Genomic DNA, 27,576 nt, shown 5'->3' on the forward strand with positions numbered 1-27,576 from the left:
GGGAACATCACACACCGGGGACTGTTGTGGGGTGGGGGGAGGGGGGAGGGATAGCATCAGGAGATATACCTAATGCTAAATGACGAGTTAATGGGTGCAGCACAGCAACATGGCACATGTATACATATGTAACAAACCTGCACGTTGTGCACATGAACCCTAAAACTTAAAGTATAATAATAATAAAAAAATAAATAAAATTTAAAATGTTTGCCAACAACAACAACAAAAAGAATGAGAACAGTGCATTTGCCTCTGCTGAAGTGCTTATTGAACACCTGTGCTAAAGAGCTCCTGATGCTGGATTAATTATAATAACATACACTTGACCAGATGCAGGGTCTAGATAAGCAAAAATAAATATTAATCCTACTAGAGCTGTAGCTTGAAATGTAGTGTACCCTGGTTTAAAATGCTGTAAATGGCCAGGCACAGTGGCTCACGTCTGAAATCCCCGTACTTTGGGAGGCCGAGGTGGGTGGATGGCTTGAGCCCAGGAGTACAAGACCAGCCTGGGCAACACGGTGAAACCCCATCTCTAGAACAAATACAAAAATTAGCCAGGCTTGGTGGTGTGTACCTGTAGTCTCAGCTACTCAGGGTAGGGGGCTGAAGTGGAGGATTGCTTGAGCCTCGGAGGTTGAGGCCTTCATCTGAAGGATGGAGGTGAGCCTTGATTGCACCACTGTATTCCAGCCAGGGCAGCAGAGTGAGACCCTGTCTCAATAAATAAATTAAATTAAATGCTCTGAGCAATGGTTTTATTTTGCTTCTTTAGTTTAGGAGGCTACCCTGTTATTGTGTGTGTGTGTGTTTGTTTTTTTTTTTTTTCCCAGATGGGGTCTTGCTCTGTCTCACAGGCTGGAATGCAGTAGTGTGATCCCGGCTCACTGCAACCTCCGCCTCCTGGGTTCAAGCAATTCTCCTACCTTAGCCTCTCGAGTAGCTGGGATTACAGGTGCCTGCTGCCACTCCCAGCTAATTTTTGTATTTGTGGTAAAGATGGGGTTTCACCATGTTGACCAGGCTGGTCTTGAACTCCTGACCTCAAGTGATCCGCCCACCTTAGCCTTCCAAAGTGCACATTTAGTAGGCATTGACAGTGTTAATCTTTGAGTGGAAATAGCTGGAGAATACTCCGAATAAGGCTGAAAAAATGTGGGATTATCACATTTAAGAGGGCCCTGTTTCTATATACTTAATGCTTTTGCACTGAAATGTTTGATATTTTAGTTGACAGCGTTCTTAAGCAATAATTTTGGCATCAGAGAAGTCACTTAGATAATTTCTTGGATCCCCATGAGCACTGGTAATTTGTAGAACAGGTTGAAAGGGGATTGTGAAAATAGTCAGTCTTAGGTGTGTGAGGTCATCTTGTCTCGCTTCCTCTCCACCAGGTTAAAACCACACCTCAGGGCTCCAGGAAGCTGACTGAGCACGTAGTCCAAAGAAATTTTGCATTCTGGTATTTTTCAGTGTTTTCTTGTGATTTTCATCTTTAAGCTAATTTGTTGAGAAGGGCTTATAGGATTTGCTCTCTTTGGGCAAGCTTCCTCATCAGTATCAATGGCTGTAGTCATGCAGTCCTGTTGTGACCATGTTCAACTGAATTGACAACTAATATGTATCACGCCACACCACTCTGCGGTTTTGCCCTTTGTAAATGTTGGCTTCATCTGGGAAATTGTTAGAAATGAAGATTCTTGGTTCGTGTTCTTGACCTACTGAGCCAGTCTACGTATTAACAAGATCTCACACGTGACTCACGTGTGCATTAAAATCTGAGACTTACTGGACTAGCTCAGGAACATGGCCTCTCAGAGCCCTTTTGCTGAAGTTCAAGGCTTTTTCTGTTTATTTTCTCCTCAGAAGTGATGAGAAACATCTGGTCACCATCTTTCATGCAGTATACATTTTCATGGAATTAAAGATAATGATTTAGGTGCCTCTAAGCTGTCTCTTCTTCAAGCTTAATAACTGAAGTTTGTGTGATCTCTTTCTTCATAGAGAAGATGATCTTTTAGCCTTTCATCCTTTATTGCCTTTGGTCTCTGTTTCCTAGATAAGTTTTTAAAAAACGTCATTTCTGAAATGGGCAGAATACTCTTATCAGAGTGTGGTTGCTACTAAATAAGCAAAATAACTTAACCCATGTATTTTTTAAGATCTAGGGGCATTTGGCTAAATTTTTTGTTTTATTTTAAAAGTTTTTTTTTTTAAGCAGTAAAAATAGCAACTAATTCTTCCTTGAGGGAACTTCAAACCCAAAAAGTACCTCCTCTCTTTTCTGAAGGATGGAATAAGTTGACCAATGGTCTTTGGCATTCTTTTGGGTTGGTACTTCAGGCTAATTTTACAATAGAGGAAGGAATGATGGAAAGAGGGAAAGAAGTAAAGAGAGAAAGGAAAGAAGGAGGGAGAGAAAGGGGGAGCGAAGGGAACCAGATTAATAATTCAAAGCAGAAGAGACTATTAAAAGTCACTCAGGTGGGAAATGAGAGGTTTATTTTTGGTGACTGCTTTACAAATGTTTTGGTTTTGGGATGTGAAGGAGAATTCTTTGAACTATTAACATTTTTTTCCTCCTGACTTTTGAAGGTCAGACTTTTATCCACCTTTTGCTTATAGGAATAGTTCAATTTTGCATGGAATTACATTTGTGGTTTTTTGTGTGTGTGTTTTTTAAGGCATCAGGGTTATATCTGAATCATCATCTTTTGCATGTTTTTAGTCTGGACATCTTTTAATTCAGTGCAAGTTGTAGCTCTGAATGAGATGCTCCTTAGTTTTCTGCAATAAAGCATCCACCTGAGAAAGGGAGAGTAGTCTGAGTGTAGGATCTTCTAAAGTGATTCTTAAAATCATACTTCCCACTTTGTTTTAAAGGAAGAATGTTTGTGCAGTGTCAAAACATTAAAAGAACTGGAGAAACCTTGGCATATTCAGCATTCGCTGTATCATCTTGTCACAGCAGGAGGAGACAATAGTGGCTAATTCACTAATTGCTTCCTATCACATTTACACAAGGTTGTAGGGTCAGCATTACCTTGCTGGGTTGTAATTTAATGAGCCCAAAAGGTTTCTTTATCTTAAATCCAGATTAGTCACATGGCTGATTGGCAAATAAAACTTGGGCAAGTGCTTGCTACGCAGTTAAATTACAGTCTATTGACCTTAAGTATGGCTTTCATTAAACAGTAATGTACTTGCTTGATGCCCTGCCTTTGGTATTTCATTTTATTGAGTTTGCCTGAATCCCTGCTAATCCTCAAAATTTGTGGGTCTGGTAAGGCTGTTGGCTGAATGAAGAGGGTAGAGGTTTATTGGTGCACTTACTGCGTGCCGATTGTCTAGGCCACTGACACATGCAACTTAGCCTCTGTGGCTGGACATGTACATAGTTAACAGTAAAGCATTTCTCTCTTTCCCTAGACAGGACCATGGGGTCTGAGTTAGTGTGAAAGAATGCAAGGATGTGGAAATTTGAACCTCAGGGTTGTTCTTACTGCTGCTGTGTTTCCCGGAAAACAGCCATTGACTTTTCTTCTTTCTTTTTAACATGGGGAAGGCATTTATAGCATAATGGAGTATTGTTTGATTATTTATATGCATTTCCTTGGGTCTTTTTGCTTTTAGAGTTTTGTTGATTTGTTCTTTGCTGTGTATTGTGGGGAATAGGGTATGTGTATTTGCTGTGTATTGTGTGGGGAATAGGGTATGAAGCCTATAGGGAAGAAGGGTGGATGGAGAGGCACTAAAAGTACAGGGATTTGACTTATTTTAACAAGAAAAAATTCTGATGACTAAAGATAATTTGTGAACATGTAGTTATGGCTTCATACCTTTTGTCTTAGTTCAGGCTGGTATAACAAATTAGTGTAGATGAAGTGGCTTGAACAACAAACTTTGATTTCTCACGGTTCTGGAGGTTGTAAGTTCAAGATCAGGGTGCCACCCAGTATGGTTGGGCTCTGGTGAGTGGCTTATTCTGGGTTGTGTGCTGCTGATTTCTTGTATCCTCACATGGCAGAAAGAGAACTAGGAAGCTCCCCGGGGTCTCTTTTTATAAGGGCACTAATCCCATTCATGAAGACTCTGCTGTCATGACCTGTTTCCTCCCAAAGGCCCCACCTTTTAATACCATCAAGTTGGGGGCTAGGATTTCAACACATGAATTTGACAGTGGGACACAAAAATTCAGTCCATGCATCCCTTCAAATAATATGAGCTTTTATTACCATTAGGAGGACTACATTGATTGAGTTGATTGGAAGTAGATTTTCAGAAATGACTTCCAGTTATCTATTGATACTATAAACAAGGTGGTATTTCATTAATGATAGGACCTGTGTTGGTCCCTTAGGAATGATGCATTCTTTGCAGAGAAGAGTTGATCAAGGTGAGTCCTGTTACTTGAACCTTTGTGAAGGACAAAGTAAAGAATCATCCCAAAACAGGAAATGCCACACTTTTATTTCCTGAGGATTGAGTTCATCAGGAAAGATATAATAGTTATCTCTTGTTGTGTAAACAATAACAAACTACTGCAAAGCTAGAGGCTTAAAACTATGGTAAATATTTATTATCTCCCAGTGTCTATGGGTCAGGAATTTGGGTGGTTCTGCCTTAGGGCCTCTCACGAGGTCGCAATCATATGATGGCTTGACCGGGCCACGGGGATTTACTTCAGAGGTGTCTCGCTGATGTAGTTGGTAAGTTGCTGTTGCCTAATGATGTGAAGCCTAAGTTGGTAAGTTGCTGTTGCCTAATGATATAAAGCCTAAGTGCCACTCCATAAAGGAGTTTCTACAGACTGCATGTTAACACAGCATGGCATCTGGGAGCAATCTGAGAGACAGCAAGATGGAAACTGCAGTGGATTTTATTCCCTAGCTTAGGAAGTTCTTTACCATCACTTTCCAATATTCTGCTGATAACACAAGTCAGCCCTATTTATCATGGGGGGACTGGACAAGGGCATTAATATCAATTGGCTAGGATCATTGGAGGCTGGTTGTACCACAAAGGACACTTGATTGGCTTTTTATCTCAGTTGCTTTCTCTAATGTTGTCAGTGCTATGGTTTGAATATTTGTTCCTTCCAAAACTCATGTCGAAATGTAATCCCTGCTGGGCGCGGTGGCTCATGCCTGTAATCCCAGTACTTTGGGAGGCTGAGGCGGGCGGATCATGAGTTCAGGAGATTGAAACCATCCTGGCCAACATGGTGAATCCCTATCTCTACTAAAAGTACAAAAATTAGCTGGGCGTGGTGCCATGTGCCTGTAGTCCCAGCTACTTGGGAAGCTGAGGCAGGAGAATCGCTTGAACCTGGGAGGCAGAGGTTGCAGTGAGCAGAGATTGCGCCACTGCACTCCAGCCTGGGTGACAGAGTGAGACTCTGTCTCAAAAAAAAAAAAAAAAAAAAAGAAAGAAATGTAATCCCTAATGTGGTGGTATTGATAAGTGGGGTCCTGAGGGTTTTGCCTTCATGCATGAATTGATCCATTCATGAATTAATGGGTTATCATGGGAGTGAGACTGGTGGTTTTCTAGGAAGAGGAAGAGAGACATGAGCTAGCAGACTTAGCCCCCTCACCTTGCGATGGCCTGTACCACCTCAGGACTCTGTAGAAAGTCCCCACCAGCAAGAAAGCCCTCACCAGATGTGGGCCCTCCACCTTGAACTTCCCAGCCTCCATAACTACAAGAAATAAATTCCCTTTCTTTATAAATTACCCAGTTTCAGATATCTTATTATGAGCAACAGAAAATAAATGGAGCCAGGTGACACTACAGCTTCTTTAAGCTCACATGTCGGGTGTAGTATATGGAAGATAAGAGTCCTCAATTTGGTGGGGAGAAATCATACATCTCAGGGTAAGGATTTTTCCGTTGCTAATAAAGGTATTTTAGTCGATATAAATACAAGTACTATTTGGCATGCATTATTAGCCTGTTACCTTTGTTGAGCACTAAGAGTACTCTGTAGGTAGGTAAATTATAGTTAGAGGTCCATCTAAGGAGAGTCTAATTTAGCATTTGTGTCAGATTTATGTTTCCTAATGTGTTGATTATATGGAAGGTTCTTTTGGAAATTTGGTTAGTTGCCTGCCTTCAGATAGCTACATAAATTGCACAGCATGCACCATAGGTGCATTCTTTATATGGTTCATGGGAGGATTTGGTTTATTTTTAGAGTTTGACATAGGGTTCTTTGGGAGAAAGTTTGTTACTGCATCTGGGAAAAGATCCTCTTGGTGATGCATCTTCATCTCACCCATTTATTCTTGGGATGCTTTCTGTGTGTTAATGGAGGGTTTTCACTGCATTGTGCTCATGAAGGGCCTTGAACTCCCCCTTTGTGCTTTAACCTTGGCAGGGTCTGTATGGCTGACCTTGCACTTCTGAGAACTTCTCTGCAGTTCCCTTTGGGCGGCCTGAACATTGGCTGTTTAATACCAATTAAAAGCAAGGGCTGTTCCTCTCAGTGGATTGCTATTAATTACAGCCCGTGTTCCAGTAATCTGAGACAGAGCAGCTTCCTCTGGTTTCATTGAAGGCTACTTTAGCTCTCTGTTTTGGTTGGCTGATAAAAATCTGAGAGGCACATACTGATTTGGAATAGGAAGAGTATTCTGACCCCAAGAAGAGGTATCTGGGAGTTGGAAGATGAGTGCTCTGTTCTTATCGTGTCTTTGGGTTAGGTGGGGCATATAAGGGAACATGGTGAAATCAAACAGTCCTGGACCCATGTCAGAGATCAGGGTTCTAGTTCCAGCCTTAACACTAACAGGTTGTGTAACTTGGAACTAATCATTTCATCTCTTCCTATACCAGTTTACTGGGTTTAAACAAAGTTATCTTGATTGTCCCTTCTGTGTCTAAAATTTTGCTAAAAATTGGTTACTGTTCTTATAAATGATATGAAATATTATGAGACTATTCAAGGTTAATTCTTTAACTTGAGATTTTAAGAATCAGTTTTTTAAAATAAGTTTTTTTGGGCATTTAATGGTATGGGTGAAGTCTGGTGGTCCCTGATGATTGGTTTAGTTACTGGGATATTTTCTCCATGAACAGTTGGGGGGAGTTTTAGTTTGTGCCAGAATGTAGATAGAAGGGTATATTTGGGTTTGGTGTTTCTGAAGCACTTTAGTTCAATGAGATTTTGAAGGAAATCCCTGGATAGAGATTATAGTCATCCCTTGGGTTCTGGGGGATTGGTCTCAGGACCTCCTGTGGATACCAAAATCCATGGGTGTTCAAGTCTCTGATATAAAGTGGCATATTGTTTGCATCTGACCCATGCACATCCGCCCTTATACTTTAAATCACCTATAGATTATCTATAATTCCTAACGCAATGTCTACACATCACTTCATTCTTGTGGATTCAACGTAGTACTTGGCATGTGGCAAATTCAAGTTTTGGTTTCTGGAACCTTGTGGAAATTTTTTTTTTTTCCTGAATATTTTGTATCCCTGCTTTGTTGAATCCGCAGATGTGGAACCCATGGATACAGAAGGCTGACTGTATTTTTTTTTTTAAACTCTCAGAAATCTGGGATGTAAGAGTTCAACTCGATTCATGAAGCATAATTTATTACTATTTTTTTTTTGCACTAGAAATCAGAACACATTAATGGTTGAAGGTTTTTTGGCTTTGAGAAGAGGCTAGGAGGTGTTCTTTGCATACAAAACAGTAGATTTTCCTGTATGTTGTGATTGGTTATATGGGCAGAGGAAAAGAATATTTGAAACTATGGTTGATCTGTGTAATTCTAGGCATATGGAGGCTTTGCCTTTAGGTACTTTTCGCCTTCAGACTGCTCTTAAGGGTAGGAAACATCTCAGTTATGTATGTAATAATCATTAAATGAATGTTCCCAAATGAATAAAGAGACTTAATAACAGGTGTAGCGTTAAAAGAGAGGCTGCAAAGGGGAATCCTTCACCCTAAATTCCAAATTCCAAAGTGGAAGAATAACCACTCTGGGGTGGGAGTGTTATTTTCTCAAGTGCTAAAAGGGAGATATGAACTATCCTGCTTGGCCTGTGGGAGAGGGTCATGGTTATTAGGGTTGGGTAATATTTTTGTTACAAATGTGTAGAAGAATGTCATTAATTGTGGCCTTTAGCACGCAGATTTTCTTGATCAGATAATACCTTGACAACTCCAGACAAGTGACTGCTAATCTTGTGTCAGTTGTAAATATGTGTTTGGAAGGTGATATTGAACCAGTGGGTTATTTCAGTCAAGATGTTTGAAAAAGAGGTATACATCAAATGAAAATGACGCGGATTATGGAAAAGTCTTAATTTTAATGGCTTAAAAAAATTCTGCATTAAACCCGAAAAACTAGAGACATAGACCAGCTGGGAGGTACTATGAGAAACTGCTTTACAAATGATTTTCTGTGGAACCCTGTCACCAGCATTTAGTGAAACATGCTTTCCATTTGAATATGCATTTAGATGAGGCCAACTGGCTGCTAGATCATCGTCTAATGGGCCTGTGATCCCACATGAAGATTATTTTCCCTTTGGTCCTAGAACCACTCTCCATCCTGCTCACCCTTATAGACTATATGAGAGGGTCCCTAGGTCTCACTTTCAGGTGGGCTCAGCCAGTGGAAATCAGAGAGGTGTGAGTTCGTGGTATGTATTTTGTCCCTGCTCCCTGCTAGGCTGTCCTGATGCATTTAGACTGAGGTGGTCACTGCTTTTCACTGGTGCTATTGAACTGGAACTATAGTTTCCCATTGGTGAGATGTTGTTACTACAGTTTTTCACATACATGTATATTTCACATACATATATTTTAATTTTTTACATTTATTGTTTCTCCAGTGAGTTAAAGCCTTAGAGGATTGAGTTTACTTTTAGCACCTAAGAATACTACTACCTTTTCATGGAGGAAGATCATTGAAACTGTAAGAGTTTGCAGTTACAGAAGCAGTATCCTCTCTGGAGCACTGAACAGGTGTTGGGGGCCAGAGGATTCAAGCCCTGTCCACCATTCCCTGCTGAGCACCTTCTCTACCAGCAGTAGCTCTTCAGCCTCTGAAGGCATGGCGGAGGCCTGGAGTAGGGCCCTGCCAACCTTGAATGCTCATGCCTGGTAGGTTATGAGGATTAAGTTACATAAGATTGTATGTGCTTAAAATAGGAGTTGGCATAGAACAAGTACTCCTTGATTTTGATCTGGTCTAATTCATTCATATTTAGGATGAAAAAATGGTAGCAATGTTAAGTTTAATTCAGATGACAAGACTTACTAAAAGGTCTTTCTGATACCTCATCTATACATATAGTATTCTACTCTGTGTAGATCATCTAAAATTTCTATAAGTTGGAGATGATCTTGGCTTTTCTGTTTTAAGATTACAATGAAAGACAGTGAAATCTGCAGCTGAATTTAGGGAAGACTCCTTGAAAACATCATCAGTTGGCTTTCTCATTTGGAATACAAATGGACAGTTGTATCCTCCTGCCATTGCTTTGTTATGATTATCTAGGAGTTTTCTTATTTTTTTAAAATGTGACTTTATAGACATTTCAAGTACTATAACATTTAGCCATTGAAGCTCTCTCTCTCTCTCTCTCTCTCTCTCTATATATATATATATATATAATTATTATTATTTTTTGAGACAGTCTTGCTTAGTCCTCCAGGCTGTAGTGCAGTGATGTGATCTCTGCTCACCCCAACCTCTGCTTCCCAGGTTCAAGCGATTCTCGTGCCTCAGCCTCCCAAGTAGCTGGGATTACAGGCATGTACCACCACGCCCAGCTAAGTTTTGTATTTTTAGTAGAGACGGGGTTTCACCATGTTGGCCAGGCTGGCCTTGAACTCCTGGCCTCAAGTGATCCAACCCCCCTTGACCTCCCAAAGTGCTGGGATTACAGGCATGAGCCACTGTGTCCAGCCACTATAATTGATTTTTAGTAAATTCTGTGGAATATACAGCATTTTATTTTTCGATTCATCAGTTGGTGGACGTTTAAATTGCTTCTACTTTCTGGCTATTATGAATAATGCTGCTGTGAGCATTCTTATACACGTTTTTGTGTGGACATATGTTTTCTTAGGAGCTACTCTTACTTTGTTGCTAGCTGAGGCTTCTAGGACTGGGATCCTTCGAACACTGCATGTACCTATAATACTCTTGGAGGAGAGGAGGATTCCTCTGAAGTCAGAAATATCCTCCCTGGAGAATTCTGCAAGGAGTTGGATGGACTCATTGGGGCCGAGGAAGGAGCTTTGAGCCAGGGATGTCTCAGGAATGTGAGAGTTGAAGCACAGCTGTGCAGTGTGGCCTTGGGCAACTTGCCAGCTGCCTTACCTGTAGGGAAAGGGTGATGTTACTACTGAAAATTGTGACCTCCTCCAGACACCAGTGGTGAGGATTAATTAGTAAATGTTGGCTGTGCTAAGCTTTTCCTTTGGCTCTTCTTTATTCTCAGAGGCAGCCCTGCTTTTTAGGGCTGAAGGTAGTAAGATCTGTAAGAAAAAGCCAGAGAAACCCACCTTGTCATTGCTTTCTTGGGAATTAAGGGTTATCTTGTGTTTGGTTAGGACACCAGTTAGTTTCCAGCATTCTCAGTGGAGGTAATCAGATCTTGGAAACTTTGAGGGCATGTGATCAAGCAAACAACAAAACTCTGAGGATTAGAGGACTGATAGAGACCCTGTGAAGGGTTCACCTGGAAGGAGGCAGTATGGTGGTGTGGAAACAACCTGCTTTGTGGAGTCACATAGATCTGGGATGGAAGCCTGGTTTTACCAATCTCTCTCGAGTTACTGAATAGGAATAGTGATGACCACTTGTCAGAATTGTGGCAGGGATGAAATATGACAGCAATTGTAAAGAACCTGTCACAGTGGCTGACATACTGTAGATTATTTGTGATTATTCATTTCCTTTTTCATCTGGTTCATTGCTGAACTTCTAGGCAAACTGCCATCTTACAGAGAGACTGGGATGGAGGGCAAGCCTCCCTTGTAACTGTTGGTATCTATTTGATTTTGGACAAGACTTCCCTTTCCTTCACTAGATCTTGAAAGTTTTTTAGTGTCAAAATTCTCAGATAAGCATCTCATCTTATTTTTAGACATGTAGGAGTTAGTCTATCCTCTTTTAAAGAGTTCTTGTTGAAAGTTAATGCATTTATTTTTTATCTTCTATAGTTTCCTGTTCAATATGGTAGCAACCAGTCATATGTAGCTATTGAAACGTAAATTAAATGTAAATAAAAAATTCAGTTTCTCAGTTGCTCTAGCTACATTACAGGTACACAAGAGCTACATGTGGCTAGTAGCTACTCCATTGGACAGTATATAGGATAGAACATGTATGTCATCACAGAAAGTTCCATTGTACAGTACTGCTCTATGGAATAAGACTCTAAAAAGTGGGAGTTTCAGTAGAAGCTTATTCTTGCATTTGTATGAATCTGTCTGTGGCTAGAACTCTGGCATCCCATTACTTGGGATTGCTAAAATAATCATACTTGCAGTAATGACCCACTGAGGCCCTTGTTTCTCAAGTAGTCTTAAAGTTTTGAACTTAAAGATAAAAGATGGGCTGGGTGTGGTGGCTTACGCCTGTAATCCCAGCACTTTGGGAGGCTGAGGTAGGCAAATCGCTTGAACCCGGAAGTTCAAGACCACCCTGCCTCTACTAAGAACACAAAAATTAGCCAGGCATGGTGGCACATGCCTGTAGTCCCAGCTACTAGGGAGGCTGAGGTGGTAGGATTGCTTGAACCCGGGAGGTGGAGGTTGCAGTGAGCCAAGATTGCACCACTGCACTCCAGCCTAGGTGACAGAGTGAGACCCTGTCTTGAAAAAAAAAAAAAAAAAAAGTTAAAATATAAATTCAGCCTGTGTTTACTCTGCAAACAATCTCACCAGCTCTCCAGACCTCTACCAAGTCATAGGGACTGCCTTGCTTTGAGGTGAAAGTTTATATGCAAGTATCTTTTTAAGTAGGACCATTTAGAAAGAATATGTTTGAATTGAGTTTGCTCTAAGTAATGTTTAACACTTTAATATCCTTTTCTATTTATGGGAATATAAGCTAACAGCATTTATACTTTATTTTCAGAATACCAGTGGTTTTCTTAGCTCTGGAAGAACTATATCTTTAGATCCCAATGTAGACTTAAATTAAATAAATCCGTTTGGCTGGCTTCATCTGGATACAAATGACTACATATTTGTAATAGGTACTTGATTTCATGTTTAACTTACTTTTCTGTTTTTCCTCTGTATTTTGTTTTCAGAGCATTGAGTTAGCAATCAGAAGAACTAATGTTTATTCTCTTCCAAATCCCCTTCTTGCTTTCTTACTTATTAAGCATTGTCTGTGTGATTTGCTTAGGATACAAAAAATGATCACAATGTGGTTTTGGCTTAGGAGGGGCTCATGTGAAGTGGTCCATGACCTGTCTGCCTTATTGCTTTGTTGATGGGTTTGATAGAAGGTTAAGTGTGAAATGCTGTGTAGACAGCTCATTGTTACACAACATCTGTATTATTAGCATCCTTTTTAATGAGATAGATGGAGGTGTGGGCTATGAATGAGATTCTTCATGGCGTGAGTTTTCTGGCGGGATTTTTTAAGAGTGAGAAGAGGTGTGCCTTGAAGCAGGTAAGTAGGAGAACCTACTCCAGATATTGAGAGGGATGGCTAGAGAAGGACTGAATAGACCAGCTGCAAAAAAAAAAAAAAAAAAAAAAAAAAGCCAGGGCAGAGGAAGGAGGTGAATGCCAGGTATCTTTCTGATGACTGTACTGTGTATTTTCTAATATTCTTTGAAAACTTTGAGATCAGCAGAGATGCTGAGCCCTGCTGATGAGGAAGGGAGATTTGTTTAGAGACCGCTAATGATACTTTAAAGGTGCGTGCAGTGTGTCTGTGTACTAGGCAGGTGCCATTTAAGTCAGAAGCCACTTTCCTGCTTTAGGACAGGTGCTGGGATGTGGAAGCTAGGGATGCAAAGTTACAGCTCTGTGTTGGTTTATTGGCCACCTCATCATGAGTGCTTCTACTTCGTTAGTGACCTCTGATATGACTGCTGGATAGTCTTCTTGCAGTAACTTCCTTTAAAACTACGGTGGTTTGTGGTGAATAAAATTTATTTTCAAATTGTATTATTGCTTTTAACTGGTCTCAGAGATCTGGGCTGCCTTGATATAGGCCAGTGTTTAACTAAGCAAAGTGTTATGTCAGAATGTGGTTACTATTCCATTATTTCTTCATCCTTCAATTTTGCTTTAATTTGATCTTAAATTTGCAAGTACCTAATGTTTTTAAGAGTGTTATATATATCATTTTTCCCTAATTTTAAAACCTAAATACTTTAACAAGCTGCTCAACATGAAGAAGGGAATGGTTTGAATCAGTTTATGAAAGAATACTCTGTTCCCAGGTTGGGTGGGTGCCCTGTCAATAGCTTTATTATGTATGGCAAACACAATGCTAAGAAAACTTATTAGAAACTGAAGTCTTAAATGCTTGGGAGATTATAATGTGTTCCGACTTCAAAATTTTAAGTTAACTTCCGCTACCAGTTTCTATGAGACTGATTTCTGTAGTCTGCTTTCTGTAGTCATAGAAAATAGTAGTGAAAGCTATAGAAAGCTGTAGAAATGGAGAGGTGGGTGAGAATTTATTAAGGTGCCTTCAAACATATAAACTAGAAATAGATTCAGTTATATCAAAGATAGGCCTAGATGTGGACGGAATAGTGAATAGTTTCTGGGGCTACTCTTTCAACATGGATCTATCTGGTTAATTGATACTAGTCATTCTCTACTGCTATTTTTATAGCATTCATCACATTTTAATTTTTGTGGCCATCTCATCCTGGGCTTTGAGCAGCCAAGAATAAGGTTAGTTCATCTTTGTATCTCTTGCATCTAGCATGGTACCTGGCACATAGAAAGCATTCAATAAATACTGTACTGATTGAATGAAACATTTTTTACAAATGTGTTTGAACCAAAGGCAGCCTATTGTTAACCTTGGTGAGCCTTGGAAAGCTTTTTGCTTGTGGTGACGTAGCAACTGAAATATTTTGTAAAAAGTGAAAATACCTTCAAATGATTTATCTCTTTCTGATCTTTATTAAGACAGCAGTGTTGTATCCACACATTCCTAACTGTGTGTAGTCAGTTCTTACAAGTTCTTGCCATGCTTGTGTCCTTAAAATGTTTCACAATTTTGGCACTGAGAAGCCAGAGCGAAGTGAAGGAGTTGCTCATTGTTCTCCATACACTCTGGGTTCTCCCACCTCTGCACCTTGGCTCAGGTTTTCCCCTTTAGCTAGAATGCCCTTTTTCCTTGGCTTTGGCTGTCTCCTAATGGATTACTCGCTGTACCTACCCTTCTAGGCTGAGCTCATAGCTAGCATATGTAATCTAACATTTGAATCAGTTGAGAAAACTCTTATTTTCCTGCTCTATACACCCAGTATAGTTGGTTTGCAGGTGTCTGTGGAGTTTGTTTTATACAGTGCCTGTTGGGCTAGAGCTGCATTATAGCTAGTGTCTGTAAGACCGTTCTAGTTTAAGAGCATGCAGGGTGGCGACAGTGAGATGAGACTGGCTGTATCAGTTTATGGCTGTTCAGTTTATGGCAGGTGACTTAAACTGAGCCTTCATTTTCTCATAAGCAAAATGGGAACTTAGTATAACTAAGTAGGAAAATGTATATAATGCCTAGGAATGGCTTTTGCTAGGTGCCTAATAAGTAGAGTTTCCTTTTCTTCTCTTTATTTCAAATGATGTAAAAGAAGCCTTGTTTTGAAACCAAGAGTTGTTAATCTGACCAAATTTCATGAAAGGATATTGATCACAACATATTTGTTATCAGAGTTTGGTAACACCTGACTAATTTTTTGTATTGCTTTGGGATTTATTTAAGCATGTGAGACTGGTATTACCTAAGGTTTTAGTTGACAGAAGATGGATAGCCTGAGAGGTCGAAATTATGAGAGCAAAAGACTTTTGAAAATTTCTGCCATGGCATATTTCATACGTTTCAGCTTGGTGTCCAGGGTTTCCCTGAACAGACGAGTTTGTGACATACGAGCTCATAAATATACTTGCCTGTGCCCTCTTCCAGAAGGGAAAGCCAGATCTCCAGGGATGCTAACTGTTGGGGAGACAATGAGAGGAGCTTCTTGTCTGAATATCTTTGTTCACAGCAGAGATCATATTTGAAGTTCTTCTCTTCATCAAAAAGAGCAGAATGGAAAATGGTTTAATATTCCTGTCGTTAGGGTTTCCGCTCTGTGTGGGGTCATGAGAGTCACAGTCTTTATTCTGAATTCTGAAATGATGGTTTGTTTTACTTTTAAAAATGCATCTCACAGGGAAATAGAGAATTGTTCCTGTGAACTTCCTGCCTGCTGTACTAAACGCAGTTGCTGTGGCAGTTTTTAAAAAGAAATTAAAATGCAGTAATGCTTTAAATGTACTGCTTTAAGAAACTCGATAACTCTTGATTAGTTAGCATAACAAACAGCAAAGCAGAACTTTTTTTTTTTTCTTTTTGAGATAGGATCTCCTCCAGCCCAGGCTGGAGTACAGTAGCACAATCACGGCTCACTGCAGCCAGGCTCAATAGATCTGCCCACCTCAGCCTCCTGAGGAGGCTGGAACTACAAGCAGGCATCATCACACCCAGCTAATTTTTGTATTTTTTGTAGAGATGGGGTTTCACCATGTTGCCCAGGCAGGTCTTGAACTTCTGGGTTCAAGTGATTTGCCCGCCTCAGCCTCCCAAAGTGCTGGGATTACAGGAGTGAGCCACCATGCCTGGCCTAGAATCTTTACATACCGGTTTTAACCATGTTGTTTCACTTTTTGAAGCACTTAATAGGAGGTAAATATACTTTTGAAAGTTACATACTTAATAGAAACACACATTAATGGTACCCAAAGAACCAACTCACTCGTAGATTGTGCTCCATTTTTGTGCGGAAGTTTTTGTGCCAGCCAATTACATTTGCTTCTGTGGTAGATTTCTCTTCATTGGGTCAAAGGAGAGGCGTCATTAAGGAAAGCGCATGTGTCTTTGTTTCCTCTGGGTGTTCTGATGTGAGAGAGCCTGGCTTCTTCAGTAGAAGATTCTGGGAGGTTTTTGATAATCAAGTGTGGGAGGTCTTTTCTAATTTTCAGTGCTTCCTGGTGAGAAAAGCAGATCTCAAGAAGGGCTGAGAGAGGGTCCACTTGCCTCCACAAAGATCCTGATGCTAATAGAGGCTAAAGAGTCACTTTTGGCTTCAACTTTTAACTGCATTCTTAGGGCTCTTAATGTATTATGGACTTGAAATTTGCAATGAGAGTAGATCTCAAGTGGTCTCACCATACACACCCACACCAAGAAAGGAAACGATGTGAGGTGATAGATAATGCTAATTAGCTTGATTGTGGTAATCATTTCACAATATAAACTTATATAAAAAAATCACATACACCTTTATTATATATATAATTCTTGTCAGTCATACCTCAATAAAGCTGGGGAAAAAATAGAAGTGTGTCCATAATATTCAATAAATAATACAGTCATGAGCCACATAACATTTCCATCAAAAACGGACAACAAACTGGTCTCACAAGATTATAATAGAGCTGAGAATTCCTATCATCCAGTGACATTGTAGCTGCCTTAACATAGGGCAATGCATTACCCACGTGTTTGTAGTGATGTTGGTGTAAACAAACCTACTGTGCTGCAAATGGAGAACACATACAATTATGTTCAGTATATAATACTTGATAATGATCATAAACGACTAAGTTACTGGCTTAAAAAAATAGGAGTGTGGTGAGGGAGAGACCAACAAATAGGGCAGAGAGAGAGGTAGTTTTAATTTCTGGGAGAGATGCGGATATTAAATTTACCTCCCTTGGAAACACTGGAAGGAGGATAAAGCAAGAGGGCTCTGGGAATCTAGTGGAAACTTTTTAGGTGTGGACACTTCCGTTAATCCTTTTTTTTTTTTTTTTTTTTTGTAGTTTAGGGGGCAATAGTGTATTAGGCTCTAACTTTGGGTTTTGTGATTTCCTTTTATAAGATAAATTTAGTTTTCTTTTTTGGAGTTTAATTGTTTATTGTAATGCTAATTGTCTTCATGTAGCATGTTGTAAGCTTAAAATGTTCCGTAAGAGTAACCTGGCGTGGTGGTGCATGTCTGTAGTCCTAGCTACTAGGGAGGCTGAGATGGGATGATAGTTTGAACACAGGAGTTCGAGACCAGCCTGGGCAACATAATAAGACCCTGTTTCAAATCAAAAAACCAAAAAATATTTCATAAAAGGTAGCTGCTATTAATAATGGCATAATTATAATAATATCTTACTGTTATTATATATCCAGAATGGTTATAGCAAACTTGGTGCTCTTTGAAAATTACCACAGCAGCTAACCCTGGAAACCAAAGAAAGCCATTGAGGAAACCCTAGCCATCCCCAAACTTAGAGGAAATAAGTTAAGGCATTTATTTAGTCTTCAAGGGTTTTATTTATGGCAAAGAAATGAGGAGAAGTCATCATCAGTTTGATGATTAGCATCTGTTTTATTTAGAGAATTTTGACATCATAAACTAGGAATTTGTAAAACTGTATGTGCATATTTTTCTACATCTGGGGAGCTACCATATGTTATACAGATCTCATCCCTTACATTTCTAGAGTTGTACTGTAGGAACTATGTCTAGTAAAAATCTCACTCTTGGCTTATATGCATTTGGAATTACCCTTTCATATAATAAAGAAATAGGGTATTGATTTCTATTTTTGTGAATGCTTACTTTGTGTATATTTATCTTTTTAAGTTTTCGTAGCAGCTCTGCAAAGTAGGCATTTTATCTTTATTTTCCAGGTGAGGAAACTGATTCTGAGGAGTAAAATAATTTGCTCAAAGTTTTGTGATAGTGGCAGTACTCAGGTTGGAAACAAGGATTGGCTGACTCCAAAGTCCATTTTCTGTTTGTTACTTAAGTTGTACTTACACATTTTCCTAAATTTATTTTTCTCATGACTTGTCCTCACTCCAGAGTCTGGATTACCAGCCCCTGTGGTCTAGCAGAAGTTTGGGATGTTGAGGTAGGGCCTGGGCATTGGGGTGTAGACATCGATATTGCTGGCCAGGATAGGGGCTAGGCCATGGAATGACTGTGGGTAGAACTCAGCTGGTGGGGAGATATGGTCCATTTGATGGCTGACATTAGTGAGAGGGCAGGAGAGTACTCTTGATCAGTGATTGGTTTCCCAGGACAGAAGCAAAGCCTTCCCTCAGGCTTCCTGAGTGAAAGAGCATCCTTCAAACATCGTGCTTGAAAGGTGGACTCTTCTCCTCGGTTCAGTGGAGGCAGCCTGCCTGGGTCCCTTGAGTGCGCCTTCATCCTGGGGCATCTTGGGATTTAGGAAGCTTGTATCTGAATTTTGGAATGCAAGGGCTTCTGGTGGGGGCCATTATATTTTCAGCTAAGATTGGCCTTCCCTGGTCCAGAGCCTGCACACGTTTCTAAAATCTTTTTCAAACTCTCTGCTGCTTCATTAAAGTAAGAAAAAATAGCTACACTCTAGATTTGGTTTCTTGTTTCTTCAATGACACTTTGTCTCCTCATCCTAACACAGTAATCAACTAACCTAGTAAACTAACCCATGTTAGTGTAGCTAATATCCATAAATGTATTAGAGGAAGAATTCTTTTTTAGCAAGAAACTCCGAGGCCATGCTCCCTATCTTTGTCTAACTCCTTGGTGACTTTAGTAATGAGAATTTTAATCTAGAGGCTCCAGGGAGACACCCTCCCCACAAAGTGTGGGATTGCTCCTGTATTCTGTTAATGCCTATTTGTTAAAAGAGTTAACAGTGACCCTTGAACCATGAAGCAACTCTTTTTGGTGCTAAAAGAACACAAGTGCCCAAGAATGCAGCAGCATCGAAACTGGGGATGAAGTGATTTGTTCTTGACATCAGTTGGCAGGTACATTCTCTTGCAGAGAGTAAAGATGAAATAGAATCCCATTCATAGAAGGCAGTTTGTAGGGAGGGAGGCTGGGGATGGGAAAATGAGCTCAGGCTCAGAGGCCTTTTACGTCTTAGTGTTCTCACAAATATGCTTCCAATAAAAACCATTTAAAAGGCAAAATATAAAATTCTTCCATTTAGGAGGACCTTGCTGAGATCTATGGTGGTGGTTTAAACTGTGCCGTGATTAGAACCATGCCCTATGAATGTGTAATATGTTGTCGACCAGATGGTCATATAATGCTCACTGTCCTGGTGAGTTTGAATTAGGGAGCTGGGGAAATCTTGGCTGAGAAAAGGTAAGATAAGGCAAAAGTATATCTGCTTGAGGGGCAAAGTTGCATTCAACTGATTTGGTCTCTGCAGAAGTTTGCCATAGAAATCTGTCAGTGTGTACTGCTTTCTACTATTAATTGGGGTTTTAGTCACATGCTTTGTGGTTTGTTCATGAAGTTTTTATTTAAATGACTTATGAGAACTATCAAAATGTTTGCTCTGAAGGCTTAAATTGTGTTCTTATGCCATGGATTTTTTTTCAGATGATCAACTTACCCATGTGAAAATGCTTGAGCAGGTTGGCTGCCAAATTGTAATGAAAGGCTGTCAGCAATGCCTTGATTTATCTTTCTTTCACCTCTCCTGGATATGCTGTCTGCTTCCTAAGTCTAAGAGGGATATACTCAGTCCTGCAGACAACATCTGTGCTTCTGCATCAGGTTCCCTGCCTTTCTTGGGAGCTTTAAACATAAGAGTATCAGGAAAGGTTCCATAGTTGGTGACAATAGAAGATAGGTTAGTTTTGGGCAAATGAGGAAATGAAATGAGCTTCTCTTTCTCCTAGCATACCCTGCTGAGATTTATTCCCAGCACCTTCAAGGGGGCTATTGTAGAATGCAATCCCCAGTGCTCTCAGTGAAAGGGAGAATTACAAAGTACAGAGTCTTATCCTTTCACTGTAATCCCGGGTGCACACTTGGATTCTTGATCTGTAAGTGGGAGTGTGGTCCAGACCTCATTCAATGTAAAGCTCTTATAGAGACCCTGATTTTTTAAAGGGAATTTCTGCTGTTGCCACTTGTCTTGTCATCTTCTCCCTGAGAATGTTTTACCATAGCAGTTAATAAGTTATGTGATTTTAAATACCTCTTCACTTGGAGGAGTCAGTGCCTGTGGTAAGTCCTTTGACCATTCATTAACTCATTCAAACTCTAGGCTTTAGCTGACAACTTTTTCATTAGCAGCTTTCTTTGCTTGTTATTTTACTTTGATTTTCATGCTTTTCACCTTATATGTGTCTATCTGTTTTCCCTCTAGGACTTTCATGACCCTACATTTTCAGCAATTCATTGTCTGTCTGATTTGATGTTATTACCTTGAGGCCTGGAGATTTCTTACACAGAGGTGTTTTTCATTGACCTGGATAAACTCAGAAACAAGTCATCACTGTCTTTTGGCATCCCGCCTCCCCATTTATGTGTTATTCACCATAGTCTAATTAAATATGTTAAGTAGCAATGCCGGAAGAAGTAGATTCTGCTTTCAAAATGGTTTTAATTTATCTCAACAAAGGTAGAGAAAACCTTTGTTGCTTTAGGAGTCTAGGAGACTCCCCTGGGCAAAGTTTGCTGTTTTTTCTTCCCAGATTCCCCTTGCCCTTCACCATTCCTCCAAGACGCTTGAGGAATGATGATTTAAAAGAAAAAGGTCATGAGGGAGGACTGGTTCATAGATATTTCATGAAAAAGTGTGGCCTGTCTTGGGATTAAACCATTCCTGGGAAGTAGAAATGAGCTCTTCATTGCTTTGTAGGCAACCACAGTATATAAATACTGTAGAAGATCTGGGTTAAAAACCAAAGCCCAACTGTTATCTATAGTGTGCTGTTGCCAAGCTCCCAGTAAAGTTTTAGTTTAACAGACCACATTGTGGCTGATAATGATAATTTTGTGTTATCCCTATTGGATGAGTGGCTAGCCTGTTTCCACAGTAGACAGATGCTTTTCTTAATGGCAGACACCAGCCCAGGGCCTTGCTTTGTAGTAGGCCTTTGATAAATGTTTGTTAGATTTAATTGCCTGCTGACTTGTTGAGTACGGAGTGTGATTAGATTAAAACTAATATGTTGTAATTAAGAACTATCAGTCACAAAACAAATTTAATTTTTTTCTATAAATGTATGAAATATAAAAGTTATAAAATAATTATGACTTATCAAGGGGAAAGTTGTGACTTATCAAGCCCTGCTTATACTGCATTCAGTAGCTGAGGTTCAGTTCATTTCCACATTTGAGTTTGAACTCCATGTCTGGTTGTTTTTTAAATGTGTGTGTTTTTTCTTTTTTTTTGGTGGGAATTGGAGTTGGGGTCTCTCTGTCATACGGGCTAGAGTGCAGTAGTGCAATGATAGCTGACTGCAGCCTCAAACTTTTGGACTCAAGCCATCCTCCTGCCTCAGCCTCCTGAGTAGCTAGGTGTCATCACACCTGGCTAATTAAAAAAAAAATTTTTTTTTTTTTTGTAGAGGTGGTGTCTCACTATGTTGCCCAGGCTGGTCTTGATCTCCTGGGCTCACACAATCCTCTTGACTCAACCTACCGAAGCACTGGGATTACAGGTGTGGGCCACTGCGCTTGGCTGCACGTTTTCTTTCCACAGTTTTTTCTGTCCTTTGTTGAAAGGCTTCATTGTCCTGCTGATAATTAGGCTAATATAATAAGAATTAGGAAGATTCTTCTTTATCACCTGTTCTTAGATGACAAAGATTCTTAGAAATTCTTGCTCTGTTTATTTTGTACTTCCGGGTAATGTAGTTTAGATCTGAAGAGACATAATTGAGGTTAGCTCTCACAGAGGAGGAAAATACTTGTGTACTAAGGATCAGTTTAAATGACTCAAGAAAAGCAATCAAAGAAGTGTTATCTTTACCATTGTATTGGTCTGTTCTCACATTGCTAATAAAGACATACGTTAGACTGGGTATTTATAAAGGAAGAGGTTTAATTGACTCACAGTTCAGCATGGCTGGGGAGGCCTCAGGAAATTTACAATCATGGTGGAAGGGGAAGCAAACGCGTCCTTCTTCACGTGTCGGCAGCAAGGAGAAGTATGAACGGAATGGGAGAAAAGCCCTTACGAAACCATCAGATCTCATGAGAACTCACTATCTTGAGAACAGCATGAGCCTAACTACCCCCGTGATTCAATTACCTTCCACCGAGTCCCTCCCATGACATGTGGGGATTATGGGAACTACAATTCAAGATGACATTTGGGTGGGGACACAGCCAAACCATATCAACCATATTCTGCCTAAATTAGAAGCCTATCTCTAATCACAGCTTAATTATTCAAGTGCCTAATGTCACCACAGATTCTTCTTTTAATTGGTGATTTTCTAATACTATTGCAGGACCTTCTGATTGATAGTTTGTGCACAAGTTTTCAAAAAGAAGTTAGTGTCTCTTTTTAAGAGAAATTCATCAACTAAAGTGACATTAGAACCAGTGATTAAAAATTACTGAGGTCACATCTGTGGATGTCTATGACTGTCTACTTTTTGTTTATAGAACTCATGACTGTTTAAATGAAAGCAGTCACCTCAGTCCTCACTAAAAACAATGATTGTTAAAAATATAAAATTTAAGGTGGCTAGCAGGATGAGGCAATAAATACCAGATAAATGGAGTCATGAGTAAAAGTATTAATGTCAAGGCTTCTTTTTGGTTGAAATCTAAATGCTGTTTTTCAATTTGGACTTAACAGGGAGGGTGCTGCAAATGAAAGGAGCATTTTTTTTTTCTATAAAGCCTAACACAGTGTTAGGGTGTCTTAGTCCATTTGGGCTGCTGTACAGTAACAGAGTACTATAAATTAGGTAGCTTCTAAAGAACAGAAACTTATTTCTCATGGTTCTGGAGACTGAGAAGTCCAAGATCAAGGCATCAGCAAATTTGAGGGGAGGACCTGCCTCCTGGTTTGGAGACAGCCATCCTTCTGCTGTATCTTCATATAGCAGAAAGGATAAGTAAGCTCTCTGGGACCTCTTTTTTAGGGGCACTAATCGCATTTACGAGGACTCCGCCTTCATGATCTAATCACCTCCCAAGAGCCCCATCTCCTAAAACCATTACATTTAGGGGTTAGGTTTCAACCTATGAATTTTGAGGAGACACATTCAGTTTATGGCAGTGGGAGATACTTTGTCTTCAGATAATTAGATCTTTAACTCCGAATTCTTATGTACCTTTTAGAAATAAGGACTGATTTAGACTAGAGTTGTTGGGCCCGGCGTGACCCGAAGTAGTGGAGAGAGCACAGGACTAGAGCGCAGACCTCAGGACGTGGATCCGAGCCGGCGCGATGGGCGGAGAGCAGGAGGAGGAGCGGTTCGATGGCATGTTGCTGGCCATGGCTCAGCAGCACGAGGGCGGCGTGCAGGAGCTTGTGAACACTTTCTTCAGCTTCCTTCGACGCAAAACAGACTTTTTCACTGCAGGAGAAGAGGGGATGGCAAAGAAGCTTATCATACAGACTTTCAGCCACGACAATCAGCTGGCACAGAAGGCCCGGTGGGAGAAGAGAACCCGGGAGAAGGTGGAGCGGGTGGCCGGGCTGGCCAAGGAAGCCAAGTCAGAGACCTCGGGGCCCCAGATAAAGGCAGACAGGCAGAGAGGCTGCAGCTAGAGATTGACCAGAAAAAGGATGCAGAGAATCATGAGGCCCAGCTCAAGAACGGCAGCCTTGACTCCCCAGGAAAGCAGGAGAAGAAGGAGGAAGATGAGGAGGACAAAGGAAAACTGAAGCCCAACCTAGGCAACGGGGCAGACCTGCCCAATTACTGCTGGACCCAGAGCCTGTCGGAGCTGGACCTGGTGGTCCCTTTCCGTGTAAACTTCCGGCTGAAAGGGAAGGACATGGTGGTGGACATCCAGGGGCAGCACCTCCGGGTGGGGCTCAAGGGGCAGCCAGCAATCATCGATGGGGAGCTCTACAACGAAGTGAAGGTAGGGGAGAGCTCGTGGCTCATTGAGGATGGCAAGGTGGTGACTGTGCATCTTGAGAAGATCAATAAGATGGAGTGGTGGAGCTGCTTGGTGTCCAGTGACCCTAAGATCAATACCAAGATGATTAACCCTGAGAATTCCAAGCTGTCAGACCTGGACAATGAGACTCGCAGCATGGTGGAAAAGATGATGTATGACCAGAGACAGAAGTCCATGGGGCTGCCAATCTCAGACGAACAGAAGAAACAGGAGATTCTGAAGAAGTTCATGGATCAGCATCTGGAGATGGATTTTTCCAAGGCCAAATTCAACTAGCCCGTGCTTTTTCCTCCCTGAACTCTTGGGGCTGAGCTACAACCATCCAACCTTCTTTCCCACTCTTCTCTGGCCCTTGTGAGCCTCAGGGCTTGGGGTAGGCATGGGACTGGCCTAGACACACGGATCCCAGGGCATCAGGAGAAAGGCTGGGGCTTGGGGTCTTGTCTTCCCCAGTTGGCCTACTGTTAGGCATTAAAGCAATTTGCCCAGCAAAAACAGAAATAAGTACTGATTTATTTCCTCATTTGTGATGCCAAATTGTAAAGATTAAGGTAATTGTTCTGTTAAGGTATGAAAATAAATGACTTATAAGAGACAGAGGCAGATAGGATATTGGCAACCTTCACACCCTAGTTTGAAAGGTACTGGCCTTTCTTGGCTGTGCTGAGGCATGAATAAATACTATAGCAATAGTAACCACACCTTTGTTGTATTTTATTTCTTCAATTACCATCTGTTGTTGCAGCTTTTAGCTAAAGCAGAGCTTCCCGAACTTCCAACTTGAATCATAGCACTGCGTCTTGGTGAATTGATTCTAGAGGTGGAAGTTAGTGCCTTAAATTTGATGCAGTCACATATGCCTTTTGGGTGACTTCACTTTGAATCCTCAAAGGATGACTTAGAGAATGCCAAATAAACACCCTGGCAACTGGTAATGACCTTCTGGGAGATTCTGACAGATTAAGGTTTCACAACAAACACAGATAAAAGACAATTTTTCAGAAGACAATGGTGAAGGAACTGAGTAAGTAAAGCATAACTGAAGGCAGTAGAGGTAGTTGAGTGGAAATGCATAGAGAGCTGGGAGGAGTGGAGTTCACCAGCAAATGTGTCTTGTGTATCTGGCTGGGAGGTGTAATTGGGATGGAGAAAGGAAGGGCAGCATGCAGGAAGTCATGTGATAGGAATAGAGCTGTGTGCCAGGGGTGGCAAGTTGACTCTGTTGGTTGGTACCAAGAGTTTGCCTTACTGTAGTTAGACAGAGTTAGTTTTTGTTCTGAATGAGACACCGACTTTCCCATATTTCCCGATAGGGGTTTTGAATATAGTGACTTGAAGCAAGAACATTATTGGAACTATGGTATCAGATTTCCTGAAGGTCACATTATTCATTAATAATAATGTTGCTCTTTGAGCCCTTAAAATTGGCCTTTTTCTAGACTCCTAAACTCTATATGTTCTTAATGAAATAACGCTGGCTAGAGCCCTTACCAAACCCTGACCAGAAACAGTGAATTAAAAGATACAGAAGACTGGGAGCTAGAAGTTGTTTTTTTTTTTTTTTTTTCAAACCCATATTGTCTCGAAAACATCTACCTTAGGATCTATTCACATCCTTATTCACATGCCAACTCCTTGATTCATTTGCAAGATTGCCACCCTCCTTGCTATTTACAATAATTCATTCTTTAATTTCAAATTTTTATGCTATTTTCATATTGTTTAAATGAGGTTCTCTACCTACCCAACATGGTAGCTATTTGCCTAATATCTTAGTTGTACCTAAACATTGTGGAAGGTAGTTTCTTTTATAAATTTAAAATGTTTGGCTTTTCAAACCCCTGTTTTCTCATCTTCCTTTGTCAGAGTTCTGTTTGAGGTGACCAAAGCCACTTGGATCCTGATTTAGTGGATGATTTCAGTGAAATTAAGACTTTGGGATTGACTTTTCTCTCCCCCCCACTCATCACAGTGGGAATGCATTTTTCATCTTTTCTGTGGGGTGATTTGGAGAATGACTGAGATGGTTATTCCTTTTTTCCTCCTGTTTCAGTCTGTTCTGTGCTGTAATGACAGAATACTTGAGACTGGGTAATTTATAAGGAATAGAATTTTATTTCTCACCGTTCTGGAGGTGACTGGGAAGTCCACGATCAAGGTGCCAGCATTTGGTTTAGGGAGCATTTGGTGAGGACCCTCTTGCTGCATCCTCATCTGGCAGAAGGCATAAGTGCAAGTCATCCAAATGCGGAGTGAAGCCTCTTTTATAAGAGCCTTAATCCCATCGAGAGGGAGAAGCCATCATGGCTTAATCACCTTTAAAGGCTCCACTTGTAAATACCATCACTTTGGCAACACCTAAATTTTGGAAGGGACACATTCAAACCATAACACCCCCTGTCACCTATTGTCTGCCCTCCTTTTGGGAGTGGGCAGTGGTGCTGACTGACAGATGGATCCTCCAGGCTTCCTTGCCCTCTGGCTTCTAACTGGATTGGCCAAGGGGGAACTTAAGGAGAGCTAAGAGTGGGAGGGGAGAGAGCTGCCAGTCGCCATATCTCTTCTCTCTGCCTGCTTCTCTGCTGCAGTTTTGTCAGTGACTGTGTCCCACCAAGAAACCACTCTTGCCTGGTGGGTCCTCTTTCAGGCCTCCAGCAGGTTACTTTCCTCTCCTTGATGCTTCGAGTCACTTTCTACCTGAATGCCCCTTGTGGTACCCTTCACCCTTCCCTCATCTTTGTAAATAGTCCTTCAGTCAGATGTCTTCATTGAAACTATGTGAGTTGCCTCTATGTAGTACATGTAAGACACTGTTAATTAAAAGTACAGGTAAGACACTGTGGTATCAACACTTTAATATGAGGAAACACATAGCACATTAAATGTACATGATTATAAGATATGTCTTAATTTCAGATACATTAATACTTAGAAACAACACCCATGACTCTTAAAACAGAGGGAAACCTATGAAATTGCTACTGGTTTTTCATTGTGTTAAAGATACCATAATAAATGTCTTTATTTATAAACTTGCCTATATTTGAGATTATGTCCATAGGATAGATGAGAAGAGAGTTATGGACATTTTCTAAGACTTGTTTCTTTTTGCCGCATTGCATTCTAAAAGGGTAAAACATATTTAGAGTGCCACCTGCAGCTTCTTAGCTCTTGTTTGACTGTCCCCCTGACAGCAATGTGTGTTGACTTTTCCACAAATCTTTCCTAATCTGATAGGCCAAAGAGAGTCTTTCCATTTGGAAGTGAAAGTGAACATTTTCTATTTTATTAACAGGTTGTATTTTTCTTTTACTTTAAAAAAATCTCTTTTGCCTATTTATTTATTGGGTCTTACTGTTTTTCATATGCATGAGCTCTTTGTGTAGTAGGTCAGAGGTTAGCTAACTTTTTCTATAAAGGACCAGATAATAGACACTTCAGGCTTTGTGGGCCATACAGCTTCTGTAGGGTGAAAGC

At 40.6% G+C, this 27,576-nt stretch overlaps 1 protein-coding gene and 1 pseudogene across 13 annotated transcripts in view; both read left to right on the top strand.

Annotated features, from left to right (window-relative positions):
- Positions 1-27,576, top strand: part of FMNL2 (formin like 2) — a 314,653-nt gene that overhangs the window by 31,087 nt on the left and 255,990 nt on the right. The window lies entirely within an intron of this gene.
- Positions 23,325-24,589, top strand: NUDCP1 (nuclear distribution C pseudogene 1; annotated as a pseudogene).

This window comes from Homo sapiens, chromosome 2, assembly GCF_000001405.40.
Source record: "Homo sapiens chromosome 2, GRCh38.p14 Primary Assembly".
Taxonomy (NCBI): Eukaryota; Metazoa; Chordata; class Mammalia; order Primates; family Hominidae; genus Homo; species Homo sapiens.